The 19,402-nt window shown below is 46.8% G+C and overlaps 1 protein-coding gene across 3 annotated transcripts in view, besides 1 other annotated feature; it reads left to right on the top strand.

Annotated features, from left to right (window-relative positions):
- Window positions 1-73: 73 nt before the first annotated feature.
- The window catches only part of LARP4B (La ribonucleoprotein 4B), a 181,428-nt gene continuing 162,099 nt past the window's right edge, over window positions 74-19,402 (top strand). For 2 of the 3 annotated variants that reach the window (XM_047424897.1, XM_047424894.1), the window contains exon 1: window positions 74-111. The gene's annotated coding sequence lies outside the window, so the exon portion shown is untranslated. Of the gene's footprint in view, window positions 2,878-19,402 lie in introns of all 3 variants that reach the window. The other variant, XM_047424893.1, reaches the window with a different exon arrangement.
- Window positions 14,072-14,366: an enhancer, noted in NCBI's record as "tiled region #2332; HepG2 Activating DNase matched - State 5:Enh, and K562 Activating non-DNase unmatched - State 22:ReprW". NCBI's record gives its function as "activates a minimal TATA promoter and a strong SV40 promoter by Sharpr-MPRA in HepG2 cells, with weaker activation in K562 cells {active_cell/tissue: HepG2 | K562}" and the evidence as "EXISTENCE:reporter gene assay evidence [ECO:0000049][PMID:27701403]".

The following is a 19,402-nucleotide window of genomic DNA, read 5'->3' as shown; positions in this document are numbered from 1 at the left end:
ACTTCCACTGTCGGGCGGTTGAGGTACGTCACTTCCGGGAGCTCAGCCAATCGTGTTCTGCGTGCTCTACGGCGCTTTCCGCGTCGCACAGCGCACCCGCCCGGCTTGGAGGTCAGCCACGGAGGGCGTGTGAGGGCCTCAGGAGCGAGGGTACAGAGGAGAGGACGCCCGGGTTTTAGGGGGAGCGCGGAGACTAAATTCCTGCTGAGTAAAGCGGGGGTTTCCGACAGACTGCCCTGCGGGTTTCTGGAGCGGGTTCAGGCCCCCAGCCACGCGCCCTGGGCCAGGGTTGGAGGGTCCGGGGTCTTGGGATTTGGGAGTTGCGGGGCTTAGGAGTCCAGAGGGTCTAGGGGATCCGGGAGTCTGGGGGTCCTGGGTCGCGGCGAGCCCCGCAAAGGAGGAGGAAGCCGCGCGTGCGGGGCGTGCCCAGCCTCTGGGTGTGGAGCAGATGACGCCCCTACCCCGGCCTCGCGCGTGGGACTTGATCCCGGGCCGTGGTGAGGAGGCCCTCGCGGCTTCCCTGCAGCCCTGCTTTCTCGTGCTTGTTAAATCCCAAAACGGGCGGAGAAGGGAAAGCCTGATCTAAGGCAAAAGAGGTGCAGCTGGTTCCGCGCAGTGCCTTAGGAGAGCCCAGGGAACAGTTGCGAGAGACAGTCCTGTGGGGTCCAACTGAGGAGAAGGTTGATGAGGATGGAGCCTTTACTGCTTTTATGTTTGTGAATAGAGTGGCCGCTCCCTTTGGGAACCCAGGGCCACATCCCTTAAATTAAACGTTAGGTAGGGCTGACTCAGTCAAGCAGTGTTCAGAGCTGCTGACTATATATTAACTCGTTTAATTTCTGCAACAGCCTCATGAAGTGCATGGGGAAACAAAGGCACACAAGGCTCGAAAGCACCCCGTGGTTGTGCAGCTGACAAGCTAACAGGCAGCAGAGGTGGGCTTTGAACCCAGGCAGCCTGGCTCCAGCAAACCTGCTTCTAACCATTAGCTATACTGCTTCTCACGCATCTGGGATGCCCCCCACTCTCCAATCCTTTTAAACAAGTCCTATTATTCTTACGCGAAAATACCTCTCATAAATTCCCAGCATTCCAATATTGAAAATCATTCTGGGTCATGCTTTTCTCATCTATTAACTATGCTTCCATTTTTGTGTCACAAGGCGGATAAGCATACCTCCTACATCTTTGTGGCACTTCTAAAGGAAGCTTCTAGGGTAATTAGGATTTGCTGGCTATGATCATTTGCTAAACCACAGGACAGTTCTGGCCACCATTTCCGAGATTAGCAAAGCTATGCTCATACTTATTGCCCTTTCTTTTAGGTTCTTGTATGTTTCCTCAACCTCTCCCACTTTCTCTCACTCTGATATAGCCAGTTCCTCTTTTTCTTGTAATCCGGTATTTAGATAAGTCCAGTCAATACTTTGCTTCAGATGGGCAAACATCCTTTCTTTAATTTTTTTTTTTTTTTTGAGACGGAATCTCACTCTGTCGCGCAGGCTGGAGCGCAGTGGCGCCATCTCAGCTCACTGCAACCTCCGCCTCCAGGGTTCAAGCCATTCTCCTGCCTCAGCCTCCCAAGTAGCTGGGATTACAGGCACCTGCCACCACTCCCGGCTAATATTTTGTATTTTTAGTAGAGACAGGGTTTTACCATATTAGCCAGGCTGGTCTCAAACCCTGACCTCAAGTGATCCACCCACCTTGGCCTCCCAAAGTGCAGAGATTACAGGCATGAGCCACCTGCTTTTAACTTGTTCAGCTACAAAGGCATGTCTGTGAATGCACAACCATAATGACTCATCATGGGCCCAGAGCTATAACAATGATAAGGTACCAAGCATCTTACACCATGTGCGTGTTGATGAGAATCAACATCCTTGCCTGTTCTTGTGATTTTGTGGCAGAGTATAGCTTCTTGGGGGCAAGTATGTATTCTACACCACTAGGAGCAAGCTTCTTTATCATACACTTCTGGGCTTCTCTGGGGAAGCCAAACTCTAAAGGCCTTTTCTGAGGAGTGTCGCAAATGCTGCCTGCAGTACGAGGCACATTGCCAGTTCCTGACTGCATTAGCAGGTTCCAGCTGCCAGGACGCCTCTGAGTGTGTACCTTGTGACAGAAAGGTACTTCTCAGCTGTAGTAAAGGATGCTCTCAAGGGTACTCTGCAAAGCTTCTGACTGCGAGGCACTTCTCAGTAAAAAGCTTTGTTTTTCAGACCTTTTTATTTTGTGGGTTTGGTCTTTTCTGTTTTACCTTCTCGTTGCTGTAATTCTGATGGATGAAAGGTACATTTTGCAGAACTGAACTTCCTGCCTGAAAGGAGCCTTTACATGGGGATTAGCCATCAGTAGGCATCCGGTCTTAGAGGGTCCTATGAGTGCTCCATTGGGCCCGTCGGCCACTTCCCTGGATCCCCACAGGAACTCATTCAGAACGAGTCACATGCTGCTTTGTACCTAGATGCTTCCTTGTGTACATCTTGTTTCCAAAAGAAGTAGCCAGCTCTTCGTGGACAGGAACTGTGTCTTACTTTTTTGCCATCCCTCACCTCAGGCAGCACTGCCAAGAGCATTCACAGTGACTGTGGAACTCCGTTGATTGAATGTTGGCTTGAGTAAGTTCCTGATGTAGGGGCTGTAGCGGTTGGAATCAAGCTTCTGCAATACTCAAGTAGTCCTACTGAATTACAGTACTGTCAGACCCCCTCTGCACAACCCTGAAGTGGGTCAGAACTCCACACTGTGCCATAAAGAGGAAAGCTGTCAACAGGGAGGTCTAAGGAAACACCTCCTTAGGTGGAAGGCAGCAATGGCATGAGAGCCACCCTCCGGGCCAAAGGTGCAGCCTGACATTCTCTGCAGAATTACACAGTGAGTTAAGACTGTGAGCTTCATTTCTGAGATACAGCTCCACCCGCTGTGATCCTGGGAAAATGTCTCAGCTTCCCCAAGCCTCTGTTTCTTCACTCTTTGCTCACTTACTATCTACCAGGCATGTTAAAAATACTTTATGTGAATTATTTTAGCTTTTCACTAACCCTATTCTACAGGCATTAATAAGTGAGCAAAGAGATTGTGTATTATTAATTATGCATTATGTATTATCTATGTTCTTATTAGCTGCTTAGTTACAATAATATTTGCTAAACTTTTGTTCTATTCATTAAATTATCGTTGAACCTTAACAACTGCAATGCAGGGAGCCTCCACCATGTGCCAGGTCACTTGCTTTCTTCTCGGGACAGCATAGTGAGGTGGGTGTGATTGTCTCTGTTTCACAGACAAGAGTGCTGGCTTTGAGGTGGTTGAGTGCTTGCTCACCGTCACACAGCTGGAGAGACACAATGAGGTGCGTTCAGGGCGCATGGAACTCCAAAGCCACTCTCCTTTTGCACTGCCAGCCGAGAGTGGCTTTGTTCTTGACCTCTGTAGAGTTATTACCTTGTTTGGTATTTGTTTGTTTGTTTATTTATTTATGAGACAGGGTCTCACTCTGTCGCCTAGGCTGGAGTGCAATGGTGTGATCTTGGCTCACTGCAACCTCCACCTCCCAGGTTTAAGCAATTCTCAGATTTAAGTGCCTCAGCCTCCCGAGTAGCTGGGACTACAGGTACATGCCACCACACCTGGCTACTTTTTGTATTTTTTAGTAGAGGGGAGATTTCGCCATGTTGTCCAGGCTGGTCATGAATTGTTTGGTATTTAAATGGAGGTACATGATGGATTGCACTTGGGGTCATATGCTGTCAATAATCCCCCAGCACCTGTGTTTCACTAAAGCACTGTTTGCATATGCAGACAGGTTGTGTTTCTTCTGTGAGAATTCCGTTCCTGTGCGTGGATCATGACAGGCACCTGTGCTAATGAACTTCTGCCCTTGCTCACGTCAGAGCTGCTGATAAGGGGTGTTTCTATGGGTTGAGTACGAGTCATTCTATTGACACACTGTTAAAAACATTCTTTGCATTCTGCTGTTCCATAAAGGAACAATTTTAGGTTTAATGGAAATCTTGCGATCTCTTTTCCTAGAGAAGATTTGTGATAATAATCATACACGTATTTGGAATGCATGTACTTATGCTTGTATGATCAATTTCCAAATGATTCTAAATATCTGCAGGCAGAATTTCTTAAGATTAGCATTCTGTGCTGTACCCAAAAAGATACTCGAGATAAGCAAAGACAAGTTTCATGTTGCAACAGACATCTGAATCCTTAGTGTTTCTGGAAGCTGGTTAAGCAGGTGGTTGTGATGTCTGACCCTCAGGTTAAAAACAGTGAAAAAAATTCACTTTGATGATGTGACGTCATTGTCACAAGTTTAATAATTGATTTTGAAGGTCTGCACAAGGAAACCATAATGCTTTAGCAATTTCCGTTTTCCAGAGGGAGGAGGCTTAAAATTTCAATTCCAGCCCTGCCACCAACTTCTAGACTAATAGTAAGCTAAGTGCCTTTCCTGCTATTATTTTTAATTAAAAACATATTATTTCCTCACAAAAGCATAGAAGTATAAAAATAATAGTATTCACTATCAGAATGTATGTGTCTGGACAGTCTAAATTATCCTGTGATAACAAATAGTCTCCAAATCTCAGCATCAGTTATTTCTCTCTGATGCTCCACGCCCACTGCTGTGGACCAAATTAAGTCTCCCCAAATTCATACGTGAAAGCCCTGTCTCCCAGTGTTAAGGTGTTTGGAGATGGAGCCTTGGGGAGGTAATTCGGTTCAGAAAAGGTCACGAGGCTGGAGCTCTCCTGATGGAATTAGCACACTTATGAGAAAAGACACCAGAGAGCTGCTCCCAGGCTTCCCCGACCCCATGCTTGCACCAAGGAGAGACCATGTGAGCACAGAGAGAAGGCGGCTTTCCACAAGCCAGGAAGAGGCTGCACCAGAACCCAACTATGCTGGTGTCCTGATCTGGACCTTCCAGTCTCCAAAACTGTGAAAAGAAAATTTTCTGTTGTTTAAGCCACTCAGTCTGGTATTTTGTTATGGCAGCCCAAGCTGGTTAAGATACTCACCATAGGTCAGCAGGGGCCTCTGTTCAGGATGGTCATTGAGGGAGCAGACTCCTGGAGTAAAGGTTGACAATAGCTATGCTGAGGAAAGGGGAATGAATTTGACAATTAAATGTTTCCGTCTCAGCTCCCATGGGCCTATTTCTGGACAGTGAGTTGAGAATAACAGAGTTATCTGTAAACAGTACTGATGCCTACTGCATTGGCATCTAAAGAAGATGCTCTTTAAATCTGTGCTCAACTGATAATTAATCCAAATATGCTACAACGAATAATGTCAAAATACTTAAGTTTAGAAAATCCGAACCTATGACCAATACATAAAGAGAAAGGTAATAACCCCTCTTCTGTTCCTCTGTCCCAGGCTAATATTGACTAATGCAGGTCTTCCTTCATAAATGTTCATTCATTTAAAAACTCCATTAAAGCATCAGTATACCTGGGGACTGACAAAGTAGGAATTCCAAACTCTTAAGAAAACATGAAAGAACTCTTGTGAATGATCCCTACCCAGCAAATAACTCCTATCCTGTTTCCTTTCGCCTTATAGTCTGTTTCAGCTGATCATCTTCATAGCTCACTTTCCATTGGGATTAATGCAGACCACTTTTTTATTTTAAGCTATTCTCATTTTCAAAATTTCTGTGGCAGACTGCCATGCCAATACTCCGTAAACAGAAGTTGAAACACATTCAAAATGGGAAAGTACTAGGAAGGCCATGTGATTGGTGGAGAAAATTGAATCATACAGAATTTTAATAACTTTAAATAGTAAATTTTAGAAGTATATATGTAAAAACTTCATGATTTCATATTTTGAGGCAATATGTTATTGCCTGCTATATGTGGCTTTATCTAGATAGTGTTTTCCATCTTGTCAACTCATCACAATTTGCTCTTTTTTCCCTTTTTACTTGACTGGCCCACTCTGCCATGAGAAAATGTGGTCTAGTCCAAATTATTTTTTAAAATATAAAAAGTTATAGGTTGAGGCTGGGCGCAGTGTCTCACGCCTGTAATCGCAGCACTTTGGGAGGCCAAGGTGGCAGATCACTGGAGGTCAGGAGTTCGAGACCAGCCTGGCCAACATGGCAAAACTCCATCTCTACTAAAAATACAAAACCTAGTTGGGCATAGTTACACGCACCTGTAGGCTGAAGCAGGAAAATTGCTTGAGGCAGGAGGTTGCAGTGAGCCAAGATTGTGCCACTGCACTCCAGCCTGGGCAACATAGTAAGATTCCATCTCAAAAAAAAAAAAAAAAAGAAAGAAAGAAAGAAAGAAAAAAAAGCTATAGGTTGAAGAAGTAGCAGATCAAAAAAAAAAGTAGCTAATCAAAGAATAGCTTTGATTAGCACATATATGCTAAAAGCATGTTTACCCTGCTGCCTGCTGCTAGATTCAGGCAATTTCAGACATTATCTGTTCCACACATAATAACAAATTTTAAAACAAGTGCCATTTCTTTTACATGGTCAGCTAGGGATAAAGAACAGTCTCATTGAAAACAGTACATGGCTGGGTGCGGTGGCTCATGCCTGTAATCCAGCACTTTGGGAGGCCGAGGCAGGTGGATCATGAGGTCAGGAGTTCAAGACCAGCCTGGCCAAGATATGAAACCCCATATCTACTAAAACTACAAAAATTAGCTGGGCACAGTGGCAGGCGCCTGTAATCCCAGCTATTCTGGAAGCTGAGCAGGAGAATCACTTGAACCTGGGTAGCAGAGGTTGCGGTGAGCCGAGATCGTACCACTGCACTCCAGTCTGGGCGACAGAGTGAGACTCCATCTCAAAAAACAAAACGAAACAAAAAAAAAGTACAAAGTACCTAAAATATGTTTTAAACACCCTTTAAAGTTATCTAAATATTACTTAGTGATATAGTTTGGATATTTTTCCCACCCAAATCTCATATTGAATTGTAATCCCCAGTGCTGGAGGTGGGGCCTCGTGCAAGGTGTTTGGATCACAGAAAATTGGTACCAACGAGTGGAGCATTGCTATAAAGATACCTGAAAACATAAAATTAACTTTGGAACTAGGTAATAGGCAGAGGTTGGAAGACTTTGGAGGGCTCAGAGGAAGACAGGATGATGAGGGAAAGCTTAGAACATCTTAGAGACTGGTTCAGTGGTTGTGACCGAAATACTGATAGTGATATGGACAGTGAAGTCCAGGCTGCTGAGGTCTCAGATAGAAATGAGGAAATTATTGGGAACTGGATCAAAAGTCACCCTTGTTATGCCTTAGCAAAGAGCTTGGCTGCATTCTAGTCGTGCCCTGGGGATCTGTGGAAGTTTGAACTAAAAAGTGATGCTTTAGGGCATCTGACAGAAGAAATTACTAAGCAGCAAAGTGTTCAAGAGATAGCCTGGCTAATTCTAACAGCTTACCTCAGATGGGGGAGCAAAGAAATGACCTAATGTTGGAACTTACATTTAAACAGGAAGCAGAGTATAAAACTTTGGAAAATCTGCAGCCTGGCCATGTGGCACAGAAAGAAAAAGCTTTTTAAGGAGAGGAACTAAAGCAGGCTGCAGAATGACCACTTGCTAGGGATATTTGCATAACTAAAAGCGAGCCAAAATAATGGGGAAAAAGGCTTGAAGGCATTTCAGAGATCTTCCCAGGAGCCCCTCCCATCATAGGCCCAGAGGCCTAGGAGGGCAGAATGGTTTCACGGGTCAGGCCCAGGGTATCCATTGCCCTGCACAGCCTTGGGACACTGCTTCCCACATTTCAGCTGCTTAGCTGCAGCCGTGGTTCAAAGGGGCCCAGTTATAGCTTGGACCGCCACTTTGGAGAACATAACCGTTGGCAGCTCCTGCATGGTGTTAAGCATGCAGGTGCACAGAATGCAAGGATGAAGAACTCTTGGTGGCCTCCACCTAGATTTCAGAGGATGTATGAGAAATTCTGAGTGCACAGAGAAGCCTGCTGCAGGGAGAGAGCCCTCACAGAGAACCTCTGCCATGGCAGTGCCAAGGGGAAATGTGAGGTTGGAGCCCCCACACAGAGTCCCCACTGGGGCACTGCCTAGTGGAGCTATGAGAAGGGGACCATCATCCTCCAGAAACCAGAATGGTAGATCCACCAGCAGCTTGCACCCTACACCTGGAAAAGCCACAAGCATTCAACTCCAACTGGTGAGAGCAGCCCAGGGGGCTGAACCCTGCAAAGCCACAGGGGCAGAGCTGCCCAAGGCCTTGGGAGACCACCCTTGCAGCCGTGTGCCCTGGATGTGAGACATGGAGTCAAAGGAGGTTATTTTGGAGCCTTAAGATTTAATGACTCCTGCTAGGTTTTGTTTGCCTGGGGCCTGTAGTGCCTTTCTTTTGGCTGATTTCTCCCTTTTGGAATGGGAATGTTTACCCAATGCTGCCTATATCTCCACTGTGTCTTGGAAGTAAAGACAGAGTCTCGCTCTGTCACCCAGGCTGGAGTACAGTGGTGCGATCTCAGCTTACTGCAAGCTCTGCCTCCTGGGTTCACACCATTCTCCTGCCTCAGCCTCCCGAGTAGCTGGGACTACGGGTGCCCACCACCACACCTGGCTAATTTTTTGTATGTTTAGTAGAGACGGGGTTTCACCATGTTAGCCAGGATGGTCTCTATCTCCTGACCTCGTGATCCACCCACCTCAGCCTCCCAAAGTGCTGGGATTACAGGCATCAGCCACCGCATCTGGCTGAAGACACTATTAACAGAAGTGTTAGCTGGGTTAAAAGAACCAACAAAGGATGACAAAGGACCCAGTTAACTGGCAACTGTGGGAAGCCATCACAATTCATAGGACTGAGGGTTAAGGCAATGATAGAACCTAGCAAATGCTAAAACCATGTAGAAGGGCCCTAGGTGGGAGCCACAGCCATAGAGGAACACAGTGACACCAAGGCTCAGCCCTGCAGAAAGGGAGTGAGAGAAATTAATAACCAGAGCAGTCTCTCCTCCTTATAATTCTGCTGGGGCCTCCCTTTGACTAACCCAACAGCCAGAATGCAAGAGGGCCTGGACATCCAGTCTGTAGAAGTCAACTTCCAGGGGCATAGAGCAGGGCAGAGGAAGACACAATCTGGAGGGGCAAATGGAAAACACACAACACTGAACTTAAGCAGATTGAAATAGATTGAGAAGACCGGTAGGATTGAGAGCAAATGTTTGTCCAATAAGTACTCCAGAAGGACAGGAGAAGGAGCAAGGGAAGGAGGCAATGGTTGAAGATATAAAGACTAAGATTTTTCCAGGAAAGATAAAGTACCAGAATGATAAATAAGAAATCATAGACAGAATGCAGAATACCAAAGCCAAGAACAATTTGTTAAAAGCAACTGAAAGGAAAAGCCAGATTGCCATCAAAAGAGCAACAGTGAGTGTGACAGCTGACTGCTCAACAGTAACATTGAGAGACAGGAGACAGTGGAATATCTTCAATATTAAGGAGGGGGGGTGGGAAACAAACAATGCTGCCAAACTAGAATTCGATGCCCAGAGAAAATATCCTTTAAGGATGAGGAGAAAAACATTTACAGACAAAGGAACACTGAGAAATCTTACCATAAGCCAACCCTTTGTAAAAGAAAGTTTAAATAATATACTTGCAATAGAAGCAAAGTGATCAGAATGAGGAACAAATAAAGTGCATAAAAAACAATAGTAATATCTTATTACATTTTAACACATAATTAATAAAGCCTATAAATCAAGAAAGGGATAGAGTTAAGAGTTCTAGGTCCTACTTTCAGAACTAGGGTAAAGTACTGATGAACTTAAGACTTGGTAAATTAAGTATCCCTGTTATAATTCCTAGGTTAATGATTATAACTACACAAGCAGAATGTATAACTTCCAAATTAGTAGAAAAAAATCTAAAATGGTTAACAAAAGCTAATTGAAATGAAGGCAAGAAAAAAGTGAAAAGAAACAAAAAAATGGAAAAACCACAAATAATATGGTAGCTATAAACCCAAATGTGTTAATAAGTACAATAAATGTTTAATTCATAAAGATAACTTTAATGTAAACCAATAACGTAACCTTGAAATATAGAATGCGAAAATTGACTTACAAAGAGAAACTCGTTTCTCTGTACATGAGTACAAAATTCTACCTGAAAGTTAACGAGGTAAACATCCATCTTAAATTTAAGAACAGCAAAATAAAGTAAAAGAACAAATAAAATGAAGGAATGAGCAGAAATTCATGCTGTATAAAACAAAAGTTGATAAGGAAAAGACTAAATGGTCAAACCTGGGGCAAGACTGATGAAGAAAAGTGAATAGTGGAAATACTGTTTCCAGCCTAGAGGTGGCTCCTGAATGTGTGGCCTCATTCTTCAGCCCCATTATTCTGTTTGTAACTCTATAGAAATAGCCTATGGGATAGGGTAGTTCATCTGGCACACCCTAGGCGGGGGGCTCACTTTTAAAGTGTGGCAGTGTGGGTAGAGTTGCCTCACCCACCCCCACACCCAGTGACCTCAGTCCACCCTTGCCTTTCATCAGGGTCTTTGTATGTAGTCATCCCTTGGTATGGGTGGAGCATTGGTTCCAGGAATCCCTGTGGACACCCAAATCAGTGGATGCTCAAGTCCCTGGTATAAAATGGCATAGTATTTGCATATAACCTATGCAATCCTCCTGTGTACTTTGTCATCTCTAGGTGATTTATAATACCTAATACAATGTAAATGATATATAAATAGTTGTACTATATTGTTTAGGGAATAATAACAAGAAAAAGAACTCTAGGCCAGCACGTTGGCTCACGCCTATAATCCCAACACCTTGGGAGGCTGAAGCGGGAGGATCTCTCTCTCTCTCTTTTTTTTTTTTTTCTGAGATAGGATCTTGCTTTGTAGCCCAGACCCAGGCTGGAGTGCAGTGGCACTATCTTGGCTCACTGCAGCCTTGACCTCCCAGGTTCAAGTGATTCTCCTGCCTCAGCCTCCCGAATAGCTGGGAATACAGGCACGCATCACAGCGCCCAGCTGGGAGGATCTCTTCAGCCCAGGAGTTCAAGAGGGCAACAGTGAGATCCCATCTCTACAAAAGATAAAATAATTAGCTGTGCATGGTGACAAGTTCCTGTAGTCCCAGCTACTCAGGAGGCTGAGGTGGGAGGATCATTTGAGCCCAGGAAGTAGAGGCCACAGTGAGCTGTGATCACACCACTGCATTCCAGCCTGGGCGACAGAGCCAGACCCTGTCTGTAAAAATAATAAATAAATAAATAAATAAATAAAATAAATTCAGCATTATTTAAATACCTTATGGTAGACTCACTGATTTAAACTCATGCCACTGATTCCTCTCTGCTAAGTGAAAGATCTGTTCCTCAAGTGTCTCATTTTGCAGACAAGAAAGCGAGTTCCACACATTACATGACAGGCCTATGTTCTACTAGGCCGGGTCCACACATTACACAACAGGCCTACCTTCTACTAGGCCGGGCTGCACATTACGTGACAGGCCTACCTTCTACTAGGTTGGGTCCACACGTTGCACAACAGGCCTACCTTCTACTAGGCCGGGTCCACACGTTACATGACAGGCCTACCTTCTACTAGGCCGGGTCCACACATTACATGACAGGCCTACATTCTACTAGGCCAGGTCCACACATTACACGACAGGCCTACCTTCTACTAGGCCAGGCCACACATTACATGACAGGCCTACCTTCTACTAGGCCGGGCCACACATCACGTGACAGGCCTACATTCTACTAGGCAGGGTCCACACGTTGCATGATAGGCCTACATTCTACTAAGCCGGGCCACACATTACACGGCAGGCCTACCTTCTACTAGGCCGGCCACACATTACGCGGCACCTACCTTCTACTAGGCCGGGCCGCACATTACGCAACAGGCCTACCTTCTACTAGGCTGGATCCACACATTACACGACAGGCCTACCTTCTACTAGGCCGGACCGCACATTACGCGGCAGGCCTACATTCTACTAGGCAGGGTCCACACGTTGCATGATAGGCCTACATTCTACTAAGCCGGGCCACACATTACGCGGCAGGCCTACCTTCTACTAGGCCGGGTCCACACGTTGCACGACAGGCTTACATTCTACTAGGCCGGGTCCACACGTTACGTGACAGGCTTACATTCTACTAGGCCGGGTCCACACGTTGCATGATAGGCCTACATTCTACTAAGCCGGGCCGCACATTACGCAGCACCTACCTTCTACTAGGGCGGGCCGCACCTTACGCGACAGGCCTACCTTCTACTAGGCCGGGTCCACACGTTGCACGACAGGCTTACATTCTACTAGGCCGGGTCCACACGTTACGCGACAGGCTTACATTCTACTAGGCCGGGTCCACACGTTGCACGACAGGCCTACATTCTACTAGGCTGGGTCCACACATTACGTGACAGGCCTACCTTCTACTAGGCCGGGTCCACACGTTGCACGACAGGCTTACATTCTACTAGGCCGGGTCCACACGTTGCACGACAGGCCTACATTCTACTAGGCTGGGTCCACACATTACGTGACAGGCCTACCTTCTACTAGGCCGGGTCCACACGTTGCGCGAGAGGCTTACATTCTACTAGGCCGGGTCCACACGTTGCACGACAGGCTTACGTTCTACTAGGCTGGGTCCACACATTACGTGACAGGCCTACCTTCTACTAGGCCGGGCTGCACATTACGCGACAGGCCTACCTTGTACTAGGCCGGGCCACAATTCTTGCCTTCCTATTGTGTTTCCCACTTCACACTGCCTGGCTTCTGTCACGTCCACCCCAAGAGACCTGTGTGCATTCAGACGATTCGCCACGCAGTGGAGCTCCCTTGAAAGTCGCTCCTTGACTGCACCTAAGAAAACAGCATTTCTTCCATTTCTTCAAACCTAACATTTTGTATATGAAAATCTAGGCAGGGCTTGTGCCCCAGTGACTGGAAGAAGAAATTCTAGGAGTACACCTCAGGGTGTTTAGTGAATCGCAACTGAATTCAACAGACGCTTACTGAGCTCCAGCTGTGCGGCAGACCCTGTACTAAACACGTGGGGACATTAGTAAATAAAACAACATGTCACTATTGCTGCATCAGGACGTGTGCTCGGGACACCACGGGTGGATGCCGTCAGGAGAATTAATTCAAACAAGCACATCATCTGAGAACTGTATTGTAAACTATTTCTCATTAATAGATGTGCTACTTTTTCTGACTGCTGAGAACCTATAAAATCATGAAAGTAACTTGTATGTATTTCCCTTTTAAACATCAAATTTTTATGTAAGTGACTTCCTCTGAAGCACAGGCATTTCTGTGTGCTGGTTTGATCTGCTGTGGTGGTGACTAGTGGACACACAAGGAGCCAGGCAGGGCCTGCAGAGGCCAGACCCCATCCCAGCCACTGAACAGTGCCAGGTCTTGAGCCTCCTGAGCCTGCCCTGGCTTCCACCCCCACCGCTACTTTCCCAGTCACACTATCATCTCATGCCTGTCCCCAGACCCTTGAATGGCAGAGTGGGAGGCTTGAGCGTCTGTGCAACAGTGACAGCCGACATTTGTTGAATGTTGTGGAGCTCCAAGCTTTCGATGAGCGTGAAGCTGTTTAATCTTCACAGCACCCTTGAGGTCTGTATTAGCAGGTGTTTCACGGTTGAGGTAAACTACATCTTGTTGAACTTCTGTAAACACAGAACCGATTACAGTCTGGCCTAATGGGCGAGGGAGCTCGGACCAGTGGCCTGGCCTCATTTCTGTGTTCTGAGACAAGCAGCCCAGGTCAGAGCAGTGCTTTCCAGATGACAGTGTGCACGCCACAGCCCCTTGCTTTACGTGAGTTATTTCTAGTCCCGAGAGCAAGGCTTCAAGAGAGCCTTTCACATTCCCAATTTATAGATAAGGAAACCGAGGCCCGGAACAATGAAGGAAGCTGAGAGCACACAGGCCGTGGGTGCCCAGGCCTCTCTGAGAAACACTCAGACGCATTTGCCACGGTAAGGCTCCCTGGGAAGTTGCGGTTTCAGAAGCTCAGCATTGTCTGGAGAAATAGTTAATGGGGGAAAGAGGCAAACTCCCCAGGGAACACTCCTCAAGGGGAAAATCCCTTCCCACCCGCCCTGGGTTTCCGTGGGAGCGAGCCATGTAGACAAAGCACCTGCTGAGTCACTCCTCATGGGACCTTGACCACTGCCCCTCCTGGTTACCCCGTGCTGTCTGGAGGTTGAATCGAGTGTTTGCCATTCCAAACCAGCTCTCCCAGACCTCGCACAAAAGGTGTGATGTTTGATTAGCTGTGCAGAAGCAGGCTCACTCCCCAGGTTCTCCGACTGTCCACCTTTGGGACACAGGGAGCTGTTGATGTTTGTCAAGTTGGGTCCATCCTTGGGAGTTTTGAAGGTTGTAAAGGACCACATGGGGAAAGGGCACTTCCTAAGGTTATTCCCACCTAACTTAAGGTCATGGACCAGAGTTAGGGGACTGGAAATACTCTGTCACACCTCAGCATGAAAACACGGCAGAAATCCTGAGAGAATGCACTTTTCTCACTCCACGGTATCACTGCTTCCCTGAGATGGTGGAAGATAACATGTTATTCATGAGGGCTAAGCTGTTAAGATCTAGTGCATGTAACCTCTGGAAGCTCTTAACTACAGCATGCAAATGACAATACTGTATGGTTAAAAATTTAGCTAACGGGAACCAGTGTGGCTGTGGCTAGAGCACAGGGAAGTATGTTAAAAGTTCAACAGGCCAGGCGCAGTGGCTCACACCTGTAATCCCAGCACTTTGGGAGGCCGAGGCAGGGAGACCACGAGGTCAGGAGATCGAGACCATCCTGGCTAACATGGTGAAACCCCGTCTCTACTAAAAATACAAAAAATCAGCCGGGTGTGGTGGAGGGTGCCTGTAGTCCCAGCTACTTGGGAGGCTGAGGCAGGAGAATGGTGTGACCCCGGGAGGCAGAGCTTGCAGTGAGCTAAGATCATGCCACTGCACTCCAGCCTGGGTGACAGAGCAAGACTCCGTCTCAAAAAAAAAAAGTTCACCAAAAGCGGATCACGTTCGGATTTTTAAGTGAGAACTGAATGGTTGTTGTTTTATAGGAGTGGGGTGTGCCATGCCCTGTGTGAGGAAGAGGTTGTGCTATCCCAGCCACCCTGCGAGCTCCCCCTGCCCCGGTGAGTTGTCCCTGCTGCACTCTCCAGCAGTCTGGGCCCATTTCCATCAGGGCTTTGGCAGGTGGGACTCTCATAGCACATCCCCCTCCATCACCAGACCAGAGCTCCTTTACTCTCTGCAAGAAAGGCAGCCCGCAGCACAGGGTCAGCAGCTGAGTGGGCACTGAGTGGGTGCTTGCCCCTCGACTTCTCCCATTAGCCTCCTTGCCTCTTTGTCCCACCCACAGAATCACAGTGGTAACGCCTACTGCACGGGGAGGAACTGAGCATGGTTTCAGTAGCTTAGCTGATGCGTCTCCAGAAAACTCGATGTGGCTCAGCAGCGAGCCCTCCAAACAAACAACAGACAGAACTGCCAGCATTCTCTGTAATGCCAAGACCTGCTGGGCAGCATGTGTGGCCTTGGAGAGGGGAAAGAATGCGGCTACCTGGGGCTGCATCTTCTTTATTTTCTAACTACTTTTCTCTGCCTTATGTCATTTACTTGTCAATATCAGATCTCAATGTAGAATGCCTGATATTCTCAGTGTTTGATTCTCAGCAAGTGCATACTTCATACCAGTCAAACGGCTTACATAGAAATGGAATGTTTCATGATTGCTTGGAAGTCTCTAAACACCCCTTTCTTGGTCTAACTCTGACGCTGTGGCTGTGTGATCTGTCTTCCTCTGGCTTCTACATGAGTGGACATGAACCCCTTTGGAACCTGTCACCCCTCTGAGAATAGAATGAGAGCTGTGGACTGTCCTGCCACAATTCCACAGACTGGGTAATACATAAGGAATAGAAGTTTTTTTGGCTCATGTTTCTGGAGGCTGGGAAGTCCAAGAGCATGGTGCCAGCATCTGGTGAGGGCCTTCCCCTGGTGGAAGTGGGTGCAAGAGACAGAGAGAGGCTGGGTGCGGTTGCTCACGCCTCTAATCCCAGCACTTTGGGAGGTCGAGGCAGGCAGATCACCTGAGGTCAGGAGTTCAAGACAAGTCTGGCCAACATGGCAAAACCCTGTCTCTACTAAAAATACAAAAATTACCCAGGCGTGTTGACACATGCCTGTAGTCCTAGCTACTCAGGAGGCTGAGGCAGAAGAATCGCTTGAACCTGGGAGGCAGAGGTTGCAGTGAGCTGAGATTGCACTACTGCACTACTCCAGCCTGGGCAACAATTGCAAAACTCCGTCTCAAAAAAAAAATAAAGAGAGAGAGAGAGGAATGGGAATGAACTTATCAGGAGCCACCTCCCTCGACAACGAATCCACTCCCGACACAAAAGCATATTCCATCCACAGGGGCAAAGCCTCAGGCCTAATCTCAGAAAGGCCCCAACACGGTTACAAGAGCAACTCAGCTTCCAGCACGTGAACTCCGGGGCACTAGCAGACTCCGCGCTCAGAACATTGGCACTTCTCATTTGAACTCTATCTTCACACACCCTGCGTGAACTGGGAAGCGCCCTCAGCAAATAGACTCATGTGGCTACACTAAGCTTGTTCACTTTGCCTCCCGCCTTGCAAGGGTTTTGCCCTTCCAGTTTCTGTCAGCTTCTGGGTGATCTCTAGTGCCTTCAAACTGTTGTTTTAATATCTAATACAGAAGCTATCATCGTTATTAGCAGGAGAGTTCCTCCAGTACAGGCAACTCTGCCGTGGCCGAAAACAGATTATGCAAAACAATTTCACCCTGTGGATGTACATGCAGATTATGGACTGATACATAATCAAAATCAGAAATCTTTACAAATTGAGGAAAATGTTTTTTCCTACTATTGTTATAAAATAGTTTGGGCCACTTCTACTTCCTAGTATCCCTGGATTACGTAACAGTAACAGCTGCGATTCAGTTCCACATTCTACATGTAAGGAGCGAGGGGTGGGAGCCCAGCCTTCCTGCCTTGCATCTCCCCTGTCCTTGTGCTTCATCTCAGCAGCATTACGTCATACTTGCTAATAATTCACCTAAGAGTGACAAAAATAATTTTTATAAGCATGTCACAAAAAGGAAGGAAAAGTTTCTTTTCCCTGCTTTGATATTAGAACCAAATGGAGCTCTGGAAGTTTTCAATAAAATGAAAAATGATTTAAATTGGAGGAAAAAATTCTGTTCCAAAGGCTTACCCAAATAACTCTTTTCTAAAACTGCGGCTGGGCTTGCAGAACTGCCAGAGGGACTGGGCATGAAACGTGCTGGGCGGCTCAGTGTGCCCGTGTGCACTAATGCTGCTTTAATTGGATTTTGCAAACACTGATGATGTCCTCTGACACGCAGCAGAGCAATCTCAGGGCAGTGGAGCCAAGGCCACCGCTTGGAGCCCTGACACATCCATCATAAAACGCTCAGCTGGGCTGGGAAGTAACCTTAGTACTTCCACTGTCTCTTCTCAGTCTCTGCCTTCCATTTCCTTTGCCCCTAATCCCTCTGGCTCTGCTTGCAACATGTACTTCAAATGTCTTCTCTCTTTATGCTCAGTCCGGTCTTACAGTTACCATAAGAAGAAAAAAACACATTCCTTACACATCAAGAAAGAAAACAACACCTCTGACCTTGAGAGCAATCAAAGCTGACACGGCTGAATTTTCCCTGTTTGCAAATGAATTCAGTCACCCATTCGAGGATCCAGAGTAAAATAAACACTTCAGTGGTCACTCAGGGCAGAGTGTTATGGCACAGAAGTCCCGATGAGTGCTTTCAAAGGACGGCTGTGCAAATATTTACAAGCTCTTAGAGACTCAGTCCAGTCCCACTTGTGAGCCAGGGATTCTGATAATTCATAGAATGACAGAACCCCAGATTTGGGAGGGGTGGAAGATATTGCTTAATCCAGTGTGTGACACCCATCATGGAATTTTCCCTTAAAACGCCCCTGAAAGATGGGTGTTAGTGTTCTGCCCTGTGGCAGGAGCTCCGGCTTCCAAAAGCACTCTCCTACTGCTGGGAGTGACAATGCTTAGACATTTCTTTTTGCAGTAACTAAACCTTCCTTCCAGAACCTTCTACTCATTGGTCCTTGATCTGTCCTTGAGCTGTATAAATGTATAGTCATCGAATCCATAAGTATAGGCATGCAAGAAAGTAATTTCTTTAAGTCAATTTCCATTCATGTCTAAGCCTCCTTCCATCAGCATTGTGTCGACACTTCATCTCAGTCGTTATTAGTTCCCAGTCACTGCCCGACGGCCCTGGGACAACAAAGAGGTCACCGGAGTTGTGGCAGAGCCTAGCACCCAGGGACCTCCTGCAGGCGTCAGTCCGGGCTCATGACTGCTGAAATGCTTACGGTCCCTTGCCTTCCATGTGGGCTCATGACTGCCAAAATGCTCACGGTCCCTTACCTTCCATGTGGGCATGCAGGTCACGAACTCCCGTCAGCTGCATGTGAGGTCCTCTCTTTTGGACATCTCCATAAAATGGGAGTCAGCCTTCCTCTAATCTTGGGATAGTTCCATTCCCTTCTTCCCAGAGCAGTTCTTTTTCTCCTAATTTTCTTTTATTTTTTTTTGAGACAGAGTCTTGCTGTGCTGTTCCGGCTGGAGTGCAATGACGCAATCTTGGCTCACTGCAGCCTCTGCCTCCTGGTTCAAGCAATTCTTGTGCCTTAGTCTCCTGAGTAACTGGGACTACAGGCGTGTGCCACCACGCCTGGCTAATTTCTGTATTTTTAGTAGACACAGGATTTTGCCATGTTGGCCAGGCTGGTCTCAAACTCCTGGCCTCAAGTAATCTATCCACCTCTGCCTCCCAAAGTGCTGGGACTACAGGTGTGAGCCACCGTGCCGAGCCTTTTCTCCTAATTCTTAAACACATCACTCCTCTATCTACCCTACCACTACATTCTTCCAAGCTTTTATAAAAGTCAAGAAGAGCCCTTGTCATCAAGCTTTCTGGAAAACACCCGCAGCAGCTGAATTCAAAGTCTGAACCGTCACTTGGAGTGGAGTTGGGAGATGGGAGAACAAACCGGGAAGGTAAATGGAGGAAGACACAATACAGGTTGTCACTGCCTACCTCGTAAAAGGAACCATTTTTTCCCCTTACTTTCCTCCCAAATATTTGAAAAGATCTTTCGTGTTTGCCTGAAATCCTATCCAATCCAGAAATTATTCCCATTTCCTTCCACTATTCCTCATAAGACAGAGTTCCTGGTGTTTTACCTTATCTCAGTCTGCACTTGTCTGCCCAAGTCTCTCTTAAGATACGGTGCCAAGGCCCAAGGGC

This window comes from Homo sapiens, chromosome 10, assembly GCF_000001405.40.
Source record: "Homo sapiens chromosome 10, GRCh38.p14 Primary Assembly".
NCBI lineage: Eukaryota > Metazoa > Chordata > Mammalia > Primates > Hominidae > Homo > Homo sapiens.
The sequence above is the reverse complement of the archived record's forward strand: the minus strand, read 5'-3'. Positions and strand labels throughout refer to the sequence as shown.